The sequence below is a fragment of the Homo sapiens genome, chromosome 19, assembly GCF_000001405.40.
Source record: "Homo sapiens chromosome 19, GRCh38.p14 Primary Assembly".
NCBI lineage: Eukaryota > Metazoa > Chordata > Mammalia > Primates > Hominidae > Homo > Homo sapiens.
Genome location: NC_000019.10, coordinates 16,082,111 through 16,099,762, shown reverse-complemented (window position 1 = coordinate 16,099,762; position 17,652 = coordinate 16,082,111). Strand labels below are relative to the sequence as shown.

The 17,652-nt window shown below is 49.9% G+C and overlaps 1 protein-coding gene across 5 annotated transcripts in view, besides 3 other annotated features; it reads right to left on the bottom strand.

Annotated features, from left to right (window-relative positions):
* The window catches only part of TPM4 (tropomyosin 4), a 35,465-nt gene that overhangs the window by 3,240 nt on the left and 14,573 nt on the right, over positions 1 to 17,652 (bottom strand). For 4 of the 5 annotated variants that reach the window (NM_001367836.1, NM_001145160.2, NM_003290.3 and 1 more), the window contains 5 exons: positions 13,223 to 13,340; positions 11,666 to 11,736; positions 10,643 to 10,718; positions 6,165 to 6,227; positions 6,010 to 6,079 (listed from right to left, as the gene is read on the bottom strand). In NM_001367836.1, coding sequence (NP_001354765.1) covers positions 6,010 to 6,079; positions 6,165 to 6,227; positions 10,643 to 10,718; positions 11,666 to 11,736; positions 13,223 to 13,340 — 398 coding nt within the window. Of the gene's footprint in view, positions 1 to 3,018; positions 4,500 to 6,009; positions 6,080 to 6,164; positions 6,228 to 10,642; positions 10,719 to 11,665; positions 11,737 to 13,222; positions 13,341 to 17,652 lie in introns of those variants that run through there. The other variant, NM_001367837.2, reaches the window with a different exon arrangement.
* Positions 2,379 to 2,576: a silencer, noted in NCBI's record as "fragment chr19:16207997-16208194 (GRCh37/hg19 assembly coordinates)". NCBI's record gives its function as "represses an EF-1alpha promoter that drives an FKBP-Casp9 reporter gene in an ReSE screen in K562 erythroleukemia cells {active_cell/tissue: K562}" and the evidence as "EXISTENCE:reporter gene assay evidence [ECO:0000049][PMID:32094911]".
* Positions 4,911 to 5,784: an enhancer, noted in NCBI's record as "H3K27ac hESC enhancer chr19:16204789-16205662 (GRCh37/hg19 assembly coordinates)". NCBI's record gives its function as "activates a minimal SCP1, AML or CMV promoter by ChIP-STARR-seq in naive H9 embryonic stem cells {active_cell/tissue: H9 hESC(naive)}" and the evidence as "EXISTENCE:reporter gene assay evidence [ECO:0000049][PMID:30033119]".
* Positions 13,226 to 13,275: an enhancer, noted in NCBI's record as "active region_14202". NCBI's record gives its function as "activates an Ori minimal core promoter by ATAC-STARR-seq in GM12878 lymphoblastoid cells {active_cell/tissue: GM12878}" and the evidence as "EXISTENCE:reporter gene assay evidence [ECO:0000049][PMID:35858748]".

Sequence of the window (17,652 nt, the reverse complement as noted above, 5' to 3'; positions counted from 1 at the left end):
GAGCACGAGAGAGAACTTAGTTTGCAGTAAGTGATGGCTGATAAGGGACAAGGCCAAGACTCATTAAAATGCTGGGGGAAAGCAAAATGCCTCATAAAATGTGATATCATCAGCCTGGAAATTTACAGAAAGAAAAAAATGACTGCAGAAGATGGCAGCCTTTCTTATTTATTTATTTTTAAACAGGGTCTTGCTCTGTTGCCCAGGCTGGAGTGCAGTGGCATGATCATAGCTCACTGCAGCCTTGACCTCCTGGGCTCAAGTGATCCTTCTACCTCAGCCTCCCAAGTAGCTGGGACTACAAGTGCGTGCCACTACACCCAGCCAATTCTTGTATTTTTAGTAGAGATGGGGTTTCGCCATGTTGCCCAAGCTGGTCTCATGCAATCCACCCACCTCGGCCTCCCAAAGTGCTGGGATTACTGGCATGAGACACCATGGATCCTTGATGTAAGGAGTTCGAGACCAGCCTGGCCAACATGGCGAAACCCCATCTCTACTTAAAAATACAAAAAATTAGCCGGGTGTGGTGGCGCACACCTGTAATCCCAGCTACACAGGAGGCTGAGGCAGGAGAATCACTTGAACCCGGGAGGCGGACACTGCAGTGAGCCGAGATTGCGTCACTGCCCTCCAGCCTGGGTGACAGAGTGGGACTCCATCACACACACACACACACACACACACACACAGAGTCAAGTGACTATGACCTGGGAGGATTCTATCAGACAGATCAGTGACCTGGGCCTATCCAGTCTGGGTGAATAGATGTTAACTGAATGCTGACTATGTTGGACGAGCCAGTTTCTCCATTATCTCATTTAATCCTCATAACAGAGATATCACCTTTATTTTGCAGAAAACCTAAGCAGCTTGTTCACGTTGGCATGGTTAAAGTAGTAGAGCTAGGATTTTAAATCCTGGTCTCTTTATTTATTATTTTATTAAAAAATTTTTTAAAAATAAAATATTATTATGAATAATTTTAGAGATGGGGTCTTGCCATATTGCCCAGATTGGTCTCAAACTCCTGAGCTCAAGTGATCCGCCTGCCTTGGCCTCCCAAAGTGCTGGGATTACAAGTGTGAGCCACTGCGCCAGGCCTTAAACCCTGGTCTCTTGACTACAAATCCTGACTTCGCTTCATCTTGTCACTCAGATGCTTTAGCATCTATTTTGTTATTAGGTCTGAGATAAAATGACTTTCCCTGAAAGTGTTAACTGCCCTTGAGAATCACGACAAGGCTCACAGACTATCAACAGATAGTGTAGACCTCCATAGTGCTAATCTCTTTTCTTTTCTTTTCTTTTTTTTTGAGGCGGAGTCTCACTCTGTCGCCCAGGCTGGAGTACAAAGGTTCGACCTTGGCTCACAGCAAGCTCCGCCTCCCAGGTTCAAGTGATTGATTTTCCCACCTCAGCCTCCCCAGTAGCTGGGATTACAGGCCCCCATGACCATGCCCGGCTAATTTTTGCATTTTTAGTAGAGACAGAGTTTCACCATGTTGACCAGGTTGGTCCTGAACTTCTGACCTCAAGTGACCTGCCTGCCTTGGCCTCCCAAAGTGTTGGGATTACAGGCGTGAGCCACCGTGCCCGGCCATAGCACTAATCTCTGAAATTCCACTTATGTGCTTAGTTAGGTAGAATAACTGGATAGACAGGCTGCATAGTTACTTCAAAGGGTGGAGTCCAGAAATGCCTGGAGAAATTCCAGGGACAAACACACAGACTCCAAACAAAAACCAGCCCCCTACACAGTCTGTAATCTTTCCAAGGGCATATATATGGCAATGTGTGAGGGGAATGGTTTTTGCAGAAGTTCAGGATGGACGGCAGTTAGGAGCAGGGAGAGGCTGAGGGTGGAAAGGTGGAGGTGGTTTAGGGGAGGTGCATTTTGGAGGAATGGATGAATAGAGAGAGTAATGGGGACAGAGCTTCCCACCTGGACAAAAAAATAGGATGAGGAATAACAATGGATACCGAAAATTCAGGATCTAGTTGGAGATTTTCATGCCATTTCCAGGTTCAAGGGGTAGTCTGGAAGATGTGGCTTGAACATCTAAATGTCAATTATCTGTGATAATTTGAGGTGGTAGTGGTGGTAGGATGCAGGGGAGAACCAGATGCACTATTTGAAATTTTGGGACAAATTGGTATGTTTTTGATCATTAGAAAAGCATAGCTTGGGCCAGGTGCAGTGGCTCACACCTGTAATCCCAGCACTTTGGGAGGCCGAGGCGGGTGGATCACCTGAGGTCAGGGGTTCAAAACCAGCCTGGCCAACATGGTGAAACCCTGTCTCTACTAAAAATACAAAATTAGCCAGGCATGGTGGCGCATGCCTGTAGTCCCAGCTACTTGGGAGGCTGAGGCAGGAGAATTGCTTGAACCCGTGAGGCAGAGGTTGCAGTGAGCAGAGATGGCGCCACTGCACTCCAGCGTGGGCAACAAGAGCGAAACTCCGTCTCAAAAAGAAAGAAGAAAAAAAAAAGCAAAGCATAGCCTGGGCCGGGCAAAGTGGCTCACGCCTGTAATCCCAGCATTTTTGGAAGCTGAGGTGGGCGGATCAGTTGAGGCCAGGAGTTTCAGACCAGCCTAGCTAACATGGTGAAACCCCATCTCTACTGAAAGTACAAAAATTAGCTGAGTGTGGTGGTCCGCGACTGTAATCCCAGCTACTCGGGAGGCTGAGGCATGAGAATCACTTGAACCCAGGAGGCGGAGGTTGCAGTGAGCCAAGATGGCGCCACTGCACTCCAGCCCGGGCAACAGAGTGAGACCCTGTCTTGAAAAAAAAAAAAAAAAAAAAAAAAAAAAAAAAAAGAGTGACCTTGTTTTCTCCATATTCCTCATGTAGGAAAAAGCATGACCTTTTATTACCCACAGGTCAACCTTAAGAGCTATTCTAAACTAAAGCAAGGTTCCTGTTATAACTAACTGAAATATGAATGGAGATTGATGTTAGCAGTCTCAGGCAATTCTGGAATTCGGGAAAAGAATTCTAAATTCACGTCTTCTGACGTCACAGCACTTTCCCTGTTCATGGAGGCCCGTTCACTCCTTGTACAGTCAGTTTTCTAAGGGCAGGGCGTGGAGGTGAACTTCCTCCCAGGACTGGGAGCTGGATGAACAGTGAAGAGTAAAGCCACGGGAAGCCCCAGTCACCACACTCACAGTGTAACACAGAGAAAAGACACAAGAAAAGGAGGAAATGGAGATCAAAATGTCACTGCCGCTGTTTGAATCTGTAGCTCAAGCCCCATTCAAGGGGAGCCTCATTTTTGACACAGGCTTGCTGGTTTTTCCAAATCCCTGTTGACTCTTAAGCTGCCTAAGCGGTTTACAAGGATGAGCCTCCATTCACAACAATTTCTATTTAAGGAAAAACCATTGGGGATGGGCGCGGTGGCTCATGCCTGTAATTGCAGCACCCTGGGAGGGTGAGGTGGGCAGACTGCCTGAGCCCAGCAGTTCAAGACCAGCCTGGGCAACATAGTGAAACCCTCCCGCTTCTACAAAAAGTACAAAAATGGCCAGGCGTGATGGCTCAAGCCTGTAATCCCTGCACTTTGGGAGGCCAAGGCAGGCGGATCACAAGGTCAGGAGTTTGAGACCAGCCTGACCAACATGGTGAAACCCTGTCTCTACTAAAAATCCAAAAGAAAAATTAGCCAGGTGTGGTGGTGTATGCCTGTAATCTCAGCTACTTGGGAGGCTGAGGCAGGAGAATTGCTTGAACCCGGGAGGCGGAGGTTGCAGTGAGCCGAGATTGCACCACTGCACTCCAGCCTGGGCGACATAGTGAGACTCCGCCTCAAAAAAAAAAAAAAAAAGTACAAAAATTAGCCTTGTGTGGTGGTGCACACCTGTAGTTCCAGCTACTTGGGAGGTCGAGGTGGGAGGATAGCTTGAGCCTTGTAGGTGGAGGTTGCAGTGAACTATGATGGTGTCACTGCACTCCAGCCTGGGTGACAAAGCAAGACCCTGTCTCAAAACAAAAAAACAAAAAAAAATTATTGGCATGCAGATGCCGTTAGCTAACAGCGGTATCTGAGAGCACATGCCCAGTTTGCTTTTGTTTTCACGTCTTCAGAAAAGCATCCTGTAGGCATAATTTTCTTTTTGTAATAAGCTTTTCATTTGTGAGTGAGAGAGGCTAACCACCCACTTTGTGTTTCAGGCTATGGTTAAGGGCACACAGCTACAGCTCAAAGGCAGCAAGTGGAGAAAATGAGAATGAGGGGGCATGAAGAGGAGGACTGCCCGTCTTTATTTCGGTTGTAGAGTCACAGACACATCAGAAGAAGGCTCTGACGTTCAAACCAGAAGGCAGGCCACCGGAGCTCCTAGAAGCCCACAGGGGCGTAGGAGGCACCATGTGAGAAGGACAGAGGGCAGCGACCTGGCTGCCTCTCAGAGAGAGGTCATGTCGTTGAGAGCGTGGTCCAGTTCCTCGCTGATAGCTTTGTACTTGAGCTTCTGAGCGTATAACTCATCTAGAGGGCGGAGGTCCCCAGGGAGACAGTTCAGAAGTACAGGGGACAGAAGGCAAGGGTCGGAATGGAGTGCCACAGATGAACCACAAGAGGAAGAAAAAAACACGTGAGCAAACAAAGCACAGACTAGGAGAAAGCTGTGTTCCATGTGAAACAGATGAAGAAAACCAAAGATCTATGGAGTTGATCTCTAAGTGGTTTGAGGTTCTGCAGGGGGATTAGCCACAATGAAGCTTCAAAACAGTGGTAACCAGAAGTGACAGAGCTTCCCCCCACTGGTCCCCACCCCTCAGTTTATTTCGGATTTCCAATGACGTCACCCTGTCCAAAGGTCGTATTTTGGAATGGGGCATTTTCCCTTATATGGGAACCTCACTTCCCCAAAAAAACATTGGAAGATATGGTCTGAAGAATGTGTCCTTTCTGGGTGGGATGGGCAGTTTGGAAGATTCCATTTGAACCCCAAGATTCTGGAATTTCTGAGGCCGAATGTTAAACACTGGAACTCTTGAAAAAATTCTGGGAGAAGTGGGCCCCAGACTTGCAGACTAGTCTTTATTGCAGTCCCTACACTTTCTGTATTTCTGTTTTTTTTTTTAAATACTATGATAAGCTTTGAGCTCCCTGGGACAGAGCTTCTGCAAAAATGCAAGGCATGTAAAAAAAAAATGCAAGGCATCTATCAGAAATGAGCAAACAGAAGGAAATTGTGAAGTTTTTTTTTTTTTGAGACGGAGTCTGGCTCTGTCACCCAGGCTGGAGAGCTGTGGCGTGATCTTGGCTTACTGCAACCTCCGCCTCCCAGGTTCAAGGGATTCTCCCTGCCTCAGCCTCCCCAGTAGCTAGGATTACAGGCGTGCACCACCACGCCTGGCTAATTTTTTCTATTTTTGGTAGAGACGGGGTTTCACCATGTTGGCCAGGTTAGTCTCAAACTCCTGATTTCAAGTGATCCGCCCGCCTCGGCCTCCCAAAGTGCTAGGATTACAGGCTTGAGCCACTGCGCCTGGCCTGAGATTTTTAATTTATTATTAATATTTTTTTAATCAGAGAGAGCCATACTCTTTTCTCTATACTTGCTCATGGGACTAACTAAGCAGAGATATTTTACCTCCTGAAAGTGGCAATTCAATTAGCCAGGTGTGGCGGCACACGCCTGTAGTCCCAGCTACCTGGGAGGCTGAGGCAGGAGAATCACTTGAACCCGGGAGGCGCAGGTTGCAGTGAGCCGAGATGGCGCCACTGCACTCCATCCAGCCTGGGAGACAGAGCCAGACTCCGTCTCATAGAAAAAAAAAAAAAAAAAAAAAAGGGCCATTCAAGCCTGAATGCTTTGCATTATCCTATTCCAGTGTTCCAGGACATCCAGATATGACATCACTATGCGCTTTACTTTCCTAAGGCAAACAAAGCCCAACCCAGCCCCTCCACAAACATTCCCCAACTGTCCGTGGATGTGTCCCAGAGGGGAAGGCAGGGCAAGGCAAACATTTAGATGGTAACCTCATACCTTCCAGGTCATCAATTGTCTTTTCCAGTTTTGCAACCGTTCTCTCTGCAAATTCAGCACGGGTCTCAGCCTAGATAAGAAGAAAGGAGTTACTATCATGGCTTCAAGACCAGCCCCAGGAGAAACCAGAGCTCGCTGGGTGCCACCACACTCACCTCTTTCAGTTTGTCAGACAGAAGTTTAATTTCTTCTTCATATTTGTCCTCCTTTTCAGAATACTGTGGGAGAAACCAAAACACTGCTTTAAGAAAAGGAGGCCCAGCCAGGCATGGTGGCTCATGCCTGGAATCCTGGCACTTTGGGAGCCTGAGGCTGGTGGATCACAAGGTCAGGAGTTCGAGACCAGCCTGGCCAACATGGTGAAACCCCGTCTCTACTAAAAATACAAAAATTAGCCAGGCTTGGTGGCATGCAGCTGTAGTCCCAGCTACTGGGGAGGATGAGGCAGAAGACTCACTCGAACCTGGGAGGTGGAGGTTGCAGTGAGCCGAGATCACGCCACTGCACTCCAGCCTGGGTGACAGAGTAAGACTCCATCTCAAAAAAACAAACAACAACAACAACAAAAACAAAAAAAAAACAGAAAGAAAGAAAAGGAGGGCTGGGTGTGGTGGCTCTCACCTGTGATTCCAGTGTTTTGGGGGACCATGGTGGGAGAATTACTTGAGCCCAGGAATTTGAGACCAACCTGGGTCACATAGTGAGACCCCGTCTCTACAAAGAATTTAAAAATTAGCCAGTCATGGTGGTGAGCACCTGTAGTCCCAGCTAATGGGGACGCTGAGGAGGGAAGATGGCTTGAACCCTGGAATTCAAGGCTGCAGAGAGCTCTGATTGGACCACTACACTCTAGCCTGGGCAACAGGGCAGGACCCCATCTCAAAAAAAAGGAGGAAGAAGCATAAAAAGAAGTAAGCAGGCCAGGCACGGTGGCTCACGCCTGTAATCCCAGTACTCTGGGAGGCCAAGGCGGGTGGATCGCTTGAGGTCAGGAGTTCGAGACCAGCCTGGCCAACATGGCGAAACGCTGTCTTTACTAAAAATACAAAAATTAGCCAGGTGTGGTGGTGGGTGCCTGTAATCTCAGCTACTCAGGAGGCTAAGGCATGAGAATTGCTTAAACCCAGGAGGTGGAGGCTGTAGTGAGGCCAGATGGCGCCACCGCACTCCAGCCTGGGGCGATGGAGTGAGACTCCATCTCAAAAAGAAAAAAAAAAAAAAGTAGGCAGAGTAGAGGCAGGCACCTTTCCCCAGCAGAAGAAATATGTGTGAAATGTGGAGGATGTTGGGGAGAGTCCTGTAGGATGGTATTGATCAGAAGGCCTAAACTGAGAACTTGAGATAAAAAGTATGGCGAAGAAAGGGAGATAACTGGGAATCTGTTACTCAAGGCCCCCTCTGTATTTCCAACCCCATTCTCCACCACCTTCCCCAGGGTGACAGGCACTCCCTGATCATAATCTGTGGACTCCTGAGTCCCAGTCCCTGTCCATGAATGCACCCCTTAGCATGGAATGTTCCCCTCCCCATGATGACCCATCAGAAATTATACTTTTCTTTTCTTTTTTTTTTTTTTCAGACAGAATCTTGCTCTGTCACCCAGGCTGGAGTGCAGTGGTACGATCTCGGCTCACTGTGACTTGCAACTTCTGCCTCCCAGGCTGAAGCAATTCCCCTGACTCAGCCTCCCAAGTAGCTGGGCCTACAGGCGCCCACCACCATGCCCAGCTAATTTTTGTTATTTTTAGCAGAGATGGGGTTTCGCTACGATGGCCAGCCAGGCTGCTCTCGAACTCCTGACCTCAGGTGATCCGCCTGCCTCGGCCTCCCAATAATAACTAACACTTATTAGCTGCTTACCATGGGCCAGACATAGTTAATGGCATCACAGCCTGGTATCTGTAATCCCATTTTATAGGGGAGGAAAGGGTCACAGAAAGGTGAAGTTATTATTTTGCCTAGGGTCACATGGCTATTAAGTGATCAAGTCATGACTGAAGCCTGACTCTGGAGTGCAGTGGGGCAATCTTGGCTCAATGCAACCTCCGCCCTCCAGGCTCAAGTGATCCTCTCACCTCAGCCTCCCAAGTAGCTAGGATCACAAGCATGCACCACCATGCCCAGCTAGTTTTTGTATTTTTGGTAGAGACGGGATCTCTCCATGTTGCCCAGGCTGGTCTCGAACTTCTGAGCTCAAGCGATCCTCCCGCCTCGGCTTCCTAAAGTGCTGGAATTACAGGCATGAGCCACCGTGCTGGACCTACAGCTGTTTTAAATGTCGCCTCCTTGGTGACACCGTTCACAACCTACCAAGGTCCCTCTATTGTATTCCCAAAGCACTCTGTGACTTTGTCAATCCCTTCCACTAGACTCGACTCTGAGCTCTTCAAGAGCAGATGCCAGGCTGGGCACAGTGGCTCACACCTGTAATCCCAGCCCTTTGGGAGGCCGAGGTGGGTGGATCACTTGAGGTCAGGAGTTTGAGACGAGCCTGGCCAACATGGTGAAACTCCGTCTCTACTAAAAATACAAAAATTAGCTGGGCGTGGTGTGTGCGCCTGTATTCCCAGTTACTCAGGAGGCTGAGGCAGGAGAATTGCTTGAGCCTAGGAGGTGGAGGTTGCAGTGAGCTGAGATCGTGCCTCTGCACTCCAGCCTGGGCGACAGAGCAAGGCTCCATCTCAAAACAAAACAAAACAAAGCAGCTGAGGTATTAGTGGTGTTACATCTATCCCCCTGGCCCGGGGCAGTGTCTGGCATACACACACCAACTGGATTCATTCCTTACACATCCTAGTATCAGATATATGCCAGGGCTGGCACATATGGGAGACAGAGGCAGGTGGATCACTCGAGGCCAGGAGTTTGAGATCAGCCTGGGCAACATGGTGAAACACCATCTCTACTAAAAAAAAAAAAAAAAAAAAAATTACACACACACACTACAGATATATGCCAGGCACAATGCTAGTACTAGGGACACAACTCTGAACAAGATGACATGGTTCCTGTCCTTACAACTTACAATCTAGCAAGGAAGGCATGCAATTAATGGAGTAACTATAATAAATGTAAGAAATCATAATGCCAGCAAAAGTATAGACAGGGCTACACAGCAGAGAAATACCTAACCTAGATGAGAAATCAGAGAAGGACTCTCAGAAGTGATGTTTAAGCAGAAGCTCAAAGGATGAACAGGAGGCCAGGCTCGGCGGCCTCCCAAAGTAATCCCAGCACTTTGGGAGGCCAAGGTGGGAGGATCACTTGAGGCCAGGAGTTCAAGACCAGCCTGGCCAACATGATGAAACCTTGTCTCTACCAAAAACTAGAAAAATTAGCCAGGCACGGTGGCCCACGCCTGTAATCCCAGCACTTTGGGAGGCTAAGGTGGGAGGATCACTTGAGGCCAGGAGTTTAAGACCAGCCTAGGCAACATAGACTGTGCTCTATAAAAAAAAAAAAAAAAATACAGTTTTGGAGTAGTGGCACATGCCTGCAAGTCCTAGCTACTCAGGAAGCTGAGGTGATAGGATTATTTAAGCCCAGGAGTTTGGGGCCTGCAGTGAGCTATGATCACGCCACTACACTTCCAGCCTAAGCAACAGAGCAAGATCTCATCTCTAGGCCAGGTGCAGTGGGTCATGCCTGTAATCCCAGCACTTTGGGAGGGCGAGGCGGGCAGATCACTTGAGATCAGGAGTTCGAGACCAGCCTGGCCAATGTGGTGAAACCTCATCTCTACCAAAAATTATAAAAATTAGCGTGTAATCGGGAGGCTGAGGTGGGAGAATTGCTTGAACTTGGGAGTCGAAGGCTGCAGTAAGCTGAGATCACGCCACTTCACTCCAGCCTGGGTGACAGAGTGAGACCCTGTCTCAAAAAAAAAGAAAAGAAAAAAAAAGGCTGAATAGGGGTTTATCAAGCAAAAGGAAAGCCACACCCAGTTGAGTGAATAGCAGGTGGTGGCTGAGGTGGGAGGATCGCTTGAGCCTGGGAGTTCAAGGCTGCAATGAACTATGATCATGCCACTGAATTCCAGCCTGGGCAACAGAGCGAAGCTCTGTCTCAAAAAAAAAAAAAAAAAAGTGGGGGGTGGAGGTGATGGGAGAACAAAGAATGTCTGTGAAACTGCAAAAGCAGGAGCAAGAATGAGGAAGAGGCTGGGAAATTCAGTGGGGTTCGGCCGTGGAAGTGTGTCCTTTGTTCCCGACGTAGCTGCCACGTAGCAACTGCTTTGGGTGCTGTTTCAAACTAAAAAGCCCAATTCCACCTCTGATCATTGCTATACCTTTGAGATGGTATTTCTGGAGGAACCAGGGGAATCAGGTGAGAGGCAGGCTCTGTATTTATTTATACAACTATGCTCAGATCTCGCTAAGAAGAGCCTCATGTTCTATCTCTATCCTCCTGAGATGGAGATCAAAGATGGTGCTCAGACCCCATGGAAGAGGACTCAAGAGTGTGCAGGAGAAATCCAGCTCTTTCTGTAGGGGAAAAACCCTGGCTGCCAGGCACCAACGCTACTGTTAAATAAAGGGCAGATTCCCCATAACCTGACAGGCTCCTGCATCCCTCGGGAGAAGAAAAGAACAAAGTCCAGCAAGCCACCCTCCAGCTCAAGCCAACCACCTACCTTTTCAGATGCAGCCTCCAGAGATTTCAGATTGTTAGTAACATTCTTGAGTTCTTCTTCCAGGTCACCACATTTTCTGCACAAAGACAAAGGATTTTTGTGTCTTATCTTCCCTTACAGCCGGCAATAATAGCAATCGCCCCAACAATAAATTTTCCAAAGGAGAAACCTACACAGCTCCCCCGGTGGGGGGCAGAAGGAATGTGGGGAGAAAATGTTAATGGATTTTTCTGCAGTGTGATACTATGGGCTTATCAAAGGCTTATCATACCAGGCAGAGGCGAGGTGCGCCCGAAGAGTATTTGGAGGGCTTGGAAAACACTCCTGGTCTTTTGCCAAGGGTAAGGCTGCAAGGACTTGTGAAATCTATGATTGATGAGGCCGACTCCGGAAGGTGTAAGAATGGGACTGAGGGCAGAAGGCGGGCAGAGAGCAATGGGAGTTTGCAGGGGACACTCCGGGAAGGAAGCCCGGAGTGGATTTGTGAAACCAGATCTCTCTCAGCACTCCCGGATGCTCTGTGGGGCTGAATTCCTCACCCGGGGCCAAGAGGACAGGTGTTTTGTTTTTCGGTGCTTGCTTGTGGGATTCTGGTTAAGCTTCTCACCTTCCCGCCAGGAATGTGTCACGGCCAAACACTGACAGGAGCAAAAGCATTTACATACTGACCGGGGGAGCCTGCCTTCTGGAGCAGGTCAGTGTTCTGTTAAGATGGCACAGCCCCCTGAGATATCCTCTCTGGGAAAATGGGACTTCTGGGCTTCCCTGCTGCCTCCTGTCTCACTCCTATTTCCTCATATCTTTGCAGAAAGGGTCAACACGTGGGCAGTGCTTCCCATGGCAGTAAGAACAAGTCACCACCTCTTTGTCACAGAAGCCAAGAGAAAAGATGAGCCATGAGCCCCTGACGCCCGTCCACTTGAGCAGAGACCCCGGTCAGAGCCAATTCCCAACACAGCCAGCTCCTTCCCACTCCGCCCCAGGAATCGAGCCAGCCTCGCTCAGTCCTGTTCTGCCACTCACAGTTCAGACACCTCCGCACGCTCCTCTGCCCTCTCCAGCTCACCCTCCAGGATGACCAGCTTACGAGCTACCTGCAGAGACAGAAAGGCCCAGCTGAGCCCGATCCCCACCAGCCGTGTCCTCTCCCATCCACTGCAGACAGCCCCCAATGATGCCCCACCCAGACCCCTAGACCAGCTGCAACATGGGTTTTTCTGGTGTTTCTTTTTTTTGCAGGGGGACGGAGTCTCCCTCTGTTGCCCAGGCTGGAGTGCAGTGGCACAGTCTCGGCTCACTGCAACCTCCACCTCCTGGGTTCAAGCGATTCTCCTGCCTCAGCCTTCCAAGTAGCTGGGACTACAGGCGCGTGCCACCACGCCCAGCTAATTTTTGTATTTTCAGTCGAGATGGGGTTTCACCGTAGTGGCCAGGCTGGTCTCGAATTCCTGACCTCCTGATCCACCTACCTCGGCCTCCCAGAGTGCTGGGATTATAGGCATGAGCCACCACACCTGGCCTCTTTTTTATTTTTTTATTCTTTTGAGACAGAGTCTCGCTCCATCACCCAGGCTGAAATGCAGTGGCTCAACCTTGACTCACTGCAACCTCTGCCTCCTGGGTTCAAGTGAATCTCCTGTCTCAGCCTTCCAAATAGCTGGGCTTACAGGCATGCACGACCATGCCCGGCTAATTTTTGTATTTTTTGTAGAGACAGGGTTTCACCACGTTGGCCAGGCTGGTCATGAACTCCTGACCTCAGGTGATCTGCCTGCCTTGGCCTCCCAAAGTGCTGGGATTACCGGCGTGAGCCACCATGCCCAGCCCTTTTATGTTTTTGACAGAGGGTCTTGCTCTGTCTCCAAGGCTGGAGTGCAGTGGCGTGGTCAGAGCTCACTGCAGCCTTGACTTCCCAGGTTCAAGCGATCCTCCTGCCTCAGCCTCCCAAGTAGCTGGGACTACAGGTGCATGCCACCACACCCAGCTAATTATTATTATTATTATTTTTAGAAATGGGGTCTCACTATGTTGCCCAGGCTGGTCTCAAACTCCTGGCCTCAGGTGATCCTCCCGCCTCGGTCGAAGTGCTGGGGTTACAGGTACGAGCCACCGCGCCTGGCCTTTTGCTGGCGCTTCAACTGAAAGAGCCATCCTGGGGCCTGGAGGAAATCCTGATTCTCTTCCTCAAGCCTGAGGAGCGAGGCAGACAAGAGGCGGGAGGGAAGAGCCGAGCCATCGAGGGAGGCAAAGGAGGGCCTGAGCTTGCATGGTCTGAAACTCCATGGCTTGGGACCACAATCCTCCATTTTTGCCCAACTGTGCCAAAACTCCCAGCTAACGACACAAGTGAGCTGATCATTCGGTTTTCCCATTACGTTAGACAAGCGTCCGCAGCACTTTCTGGCATCGTGGGAGATAGTTTCCTAGCCAAGTGGTTGTCTCTGGACAAACATATGTTCACGCAGGAGGACAGCTGACCTAACCGAGAGCTTCCTTTCGTTGGCCCCGGTGTCCTCCCTATCTCAGCAGATGCATTTCCTCCCACTTCCTGCTGCTGCGCCATCTGCCAGCCCCACTCACCTCCTCGTATTTGCGGTCAGCCTCTTCCGCAATGTGCTTGGCCTCTTTGAGCTGCATCTCCTGAATCTCCATCTTCTCCTCATCCTTCATGGCCCGGTTTTCTATCACCTTCATTCCTCTGCAAGGAGCAATCTCATCAGGACGGCCGTTCACTCACACCCCTCCACCCACCTCTCATCTATCTTTTCTTTCAGATGGAGTCTCGCTCTGTCATCCAGGCTGGAGTGCAGTGGCACGATCTCAGCTCACTGCAACCTCCACCTCCCGGGTTCAAGCGATTCTCCTGCCTCAGCCTCCTGAGTAGCTGGAATTACAGGCACCCGTCACCATGTCTGGCTAATTGCGTGAGACACCACCCCTAGTCCCATCTCTCATCTAAATGAGTCTCTGAATCTACTGAGCACTGTAACACACTGCAAAGATGGAACTCTGTGCACACATTTCCTTCATCTTGGTTTTTTTTTTTTTTTTTGAGATGGAGTCTCGCTCTGTCACCCAGGCTGGAGTGCAGTAGTGTGATCTCAGCTCACTGCAGCCTCCATCTCCTGGGTTCAAGCAATTCTCCTGTCTCAGCCTCCAGCATAGCCGGGACTATAGGCATGCACCACCGTGACCGGCTAACTTTTATATTTTTAGTAGAGAGGGGGTTTCGCCATGTTGGCCAGGCTGGTCTGGAACTCCTGACCTCAAGTGATCTGCCCGCCTTGACCTCCCAGAGTGCTGGGATTACAGGTGTGAGCCACCGCGCCCAGCCTCCCTTCATCTTTACTACCAGGCACTTTTCTAAGTGCCTTCACTTTCACAACTGCCCTATGGAGCAGGTAAATTATCCACATTTTACAAATGAAGAAACTAAGGCATAGAGAGAGGGTAAGTAACTTAAGGTTACAGAGCTGGTAAGTGGTAGAGCTGAGGCTCAGCCCTTGGCAGTCTGACTCCAGAGTCTGTGCCCCCTTTCTTTTTCTTTTATTTTGAGAGATGGTGTCTCACTCTGTTGCCCAGGTTGGAGTGCAGTGGTGCCCTGAGAGCTCACGGCAGCCTTGTCCTCTCAGGCTCAAGCAATCCTGTTGCCTCGGCCTCCTGAGTAGCTGGGACTATAGGTGTGCACCACTGCACCCAGCTAAACTAAAAAAAAATTTTTTGTGGAGGTGGGGGTTTTGCAATGTTGCTGAGGTAGGAGGATCGCTTGAGCCCAGGAGTTCAAGGCTGCGGTGAGTCGTGATTGCACCACTGCTCTCCAGCCTGGGTGACAGAGCAAGACGTTGTGTATTTATTTATTTTTTTTCTTGAGACAGGTTCTCACTCTGTTGCCCAGGCTGGAGTGTAGTGGTGTAATCATAGCTCACTGCAACCTTGCCTTCCTGGGATCAGGTGATTCTCCCACCTCAGTCCCTTGAGTGGCTGGGACTACCAGCATGCACTACCATGCCTGGCTAATTTTTAATATTTTTTTGTAGAGATGGGGTCTCACTATGTTGCGCAGGCTGGTCTCAAACTCCTGGGCTCAAGCGATCCGCCCGCCTCCCAAAGGGCTGGGATTACAGGTGTGAGCCACCGCACCCTGCCAAGACCTTGTGTATTTAAAACAAGAAAAGAAAAGAAAAGAAGAGGCCAGCCTGGGATAATGTGTCATTGATATGTATCATTCCCACCCAGCACAGAGACCATATGCTTCTTGCTGTCCAATAAATATGTTCACGTGGGGTGTCACCCGTTCTCAGCTAAGTCTCAAAACACCCTCCCCCACCTGTACGAGGTCTCACCCTCAGCATGTGAGCAAGCTCTCTGGGTTATTTATTGCCCCAAAACCCCTTGTAGTACCCAAGAGATCAAAGTGACTTGCCTAAGGCTCCATAGAAAGTGCCAGTGGTAGAAGCTGACTCTAGATCCCCAAGCTTCAAGTATATAATTCTTTCTACTGAGACACAGCAGTCTTTAACAGGGGTGTCACCAAAGGCCTCTGGGGACATGGTGCAAACAAGAGACTGGCCTTCGCAGCCTCCCTTGGTTTGCCAATATGGGAGCCCTCAACGTCAGCATCCAGCCAGGCTGGTCTGACTGTGAACAGCAGCTAACCCAGGCCACAGGCACAGCCAGGAACTCTCGTGACTGGGTCCTTCCACTGCCCCGTGGCTGCCGGAGCTGCCACTCTCTCCCTTGATTCAGTGGCTGAAGCAGAGTCTGCAGTAGCGTCTGTTCCCTCTGCCCTGGCTGTTCCACTACTTGGGAAGAAATTTCCAGCTTGGGTGACATGCAATCTCCAAGATTCCTTAGCTGGTTTCTAATCTCTGGTTAGTGGTCACAGCAGCACAACCAGAAATGCATCTTAAATTAGCTAGGCGTGCCAGCACTTTGGGAGGCCAAGGCAGGTGGATTACAAGGTCAGGAGCTTGAGAACATCGTGGCTAACACGGTGAAACCCTGTCTCTACTAAAAATACAAAAAAATTAGCCGGGTGTGGTGGCGGGTGCCTGTAGTCCCAGCTACTTGGGAGGCTGAGGCAGGAGAATGTCGTGAACCCAGGAGGTGAAGCTTGTAGTGAGCTGAGATCACGCCAGTGCACTCCAGCCTGGGCGACAGAGCGAGACTCTGTCTCAAAAAAAAATTAGCTGGGCATGATGGCATGCGCCTGTAGTCCCAGCTTTACTCTGGAACTCTGGAGGCCGTGGCGGGAGGATCGCTTGAGCCCAGGAGGTCGAGGCTGCAGTGAGCTGTGATCGCACCACTACATTCCAGCCTGGGTGATAGAGTAAGACCCTGTCTCAAAAAAAAAAAAAAAAAAAGAAATGAATCTTTGGGAGGTGTTTATACTGCAAAAGCATGGTGGCTGGCTCAAGTGAGAACTCCGGTGTGAATGAGGGGCAGACGCGATGATCACTGGTCGGGCCCACACCATTGCCACACAAGGAACTCCTTTTCCACCACACACAGACTGCTGCTTCTGTGAATTACACAATCTACCCTCAGTCTTCCAGAGAGCCTGTGCCAAGGCGTGCCAGAGAATGATCTGGCTACCGAGGAGAAGGCACCCTACTGGTGGCTGGGTTGCAGCACAGATACCATGGGCGGGTGAGGAACGTGGTCAGTTTCTTTTTGAGACAGAGTCTCACTCTGTTGCCCAGGCTGGAGTGCAGTGGTGCGATCTTGGCTCACTGCACCCTCTGCCTCCTGGGTTCAAGCTGGGGGATCTTGCCTTAGCCTCCTGAGTAGGTGGGATTACAGGTGCCCGCCACCACGCCCAGCTAATTTGTGTATTTTTAATAGAGACGGGGTTTCACCATGTTGGCCAGTCTGGTCTCAAACACCTGACCTCAGTTGATCCACCCGCCTCGTCATCGCAAAGTGCTGGGATTATAGGCGTGAGCCACGGCACCTGGTGCATGGTCAGTTGCAAGTACATTAACCATGCTGGTTTGCAACTGTCCCTGAAATAGCTGTCACCGTCCAAAAGCCTAAAGCCTGACAGCTCTGCTAACAATCACCTGTGCATCCCAAGTTTCCTTTCCTCCTCTCCACAGTACTCTGCTTTTTTTTTTTTTTTTTTTTTTTTGAGACAGAATCTCATCTGTCACTGAGGCTGGAGTGCAGTGGCACAATCTTGCCTCACTGCAGCTTCAAACTCTTGGGGTCAAGTGATCCTCCCACCTCAGCCTCTTGAGTAGCCAGGAGTACAGGCGTGCACCACCACACCCGGCTAATTTTTGTATTTTTTGTAGAGACAGGGTCTCACCACATTGCCCCAGTTGGTCTTGAACTCCTGAGCTCAGGCGATTTGCCCGCCTCTGCCTCCCAAAGTGCTGGGAGCACAGGCAGGAATCACTGCATCCGGCCTACCTGAAATTTGGTGTCTAGAGAACACTAAGAGGCACTGTGGCTTTCAGAGAAAATACGAGAAGCAGTGCTTTGCAAACTGACCACCATGGACAGTCATACTTGCAGTCTCACATCTGCCCGTTCTGTTTGCCTTTCTGTCTGTCGGAAGTTTCTTTTCATGGTTACCGTAAGGATAAACACCCCTCACTTTATTTTGAGATGGAGTTTTGCTCTTGTTGCCCAGGCTGGAGTGCAATGGCACGATCTCGGCTCACTGCAGCCTCTGCCTCCTGGGTTCAAGAGATTCTCTTGCCTCAGCCTCCTGAGTAGCTGGGATTACAGGTGCCCGCCACCATGGCAGGCTAATTTTTTTGTACTTTTAGGAAAGACGGGGTTTCACCATGTTGGCCAGGCTGGTCTCAAACTCCCAACCTCAGGTGATCCGTCCGCCTTGGCCTCCCAAAGTGCTGGGATTACAGGCATGAGCCACCGTGCCTGGCCACGGATAAACATCTCTACCCATGGAGTGATGGTTTACAAAGTGCTGTCATGCACTTTTTTGTGGACACATGCATGTCCTTGTGACCTTGTTTACTTTCACACCAGCTCTGCGAGGT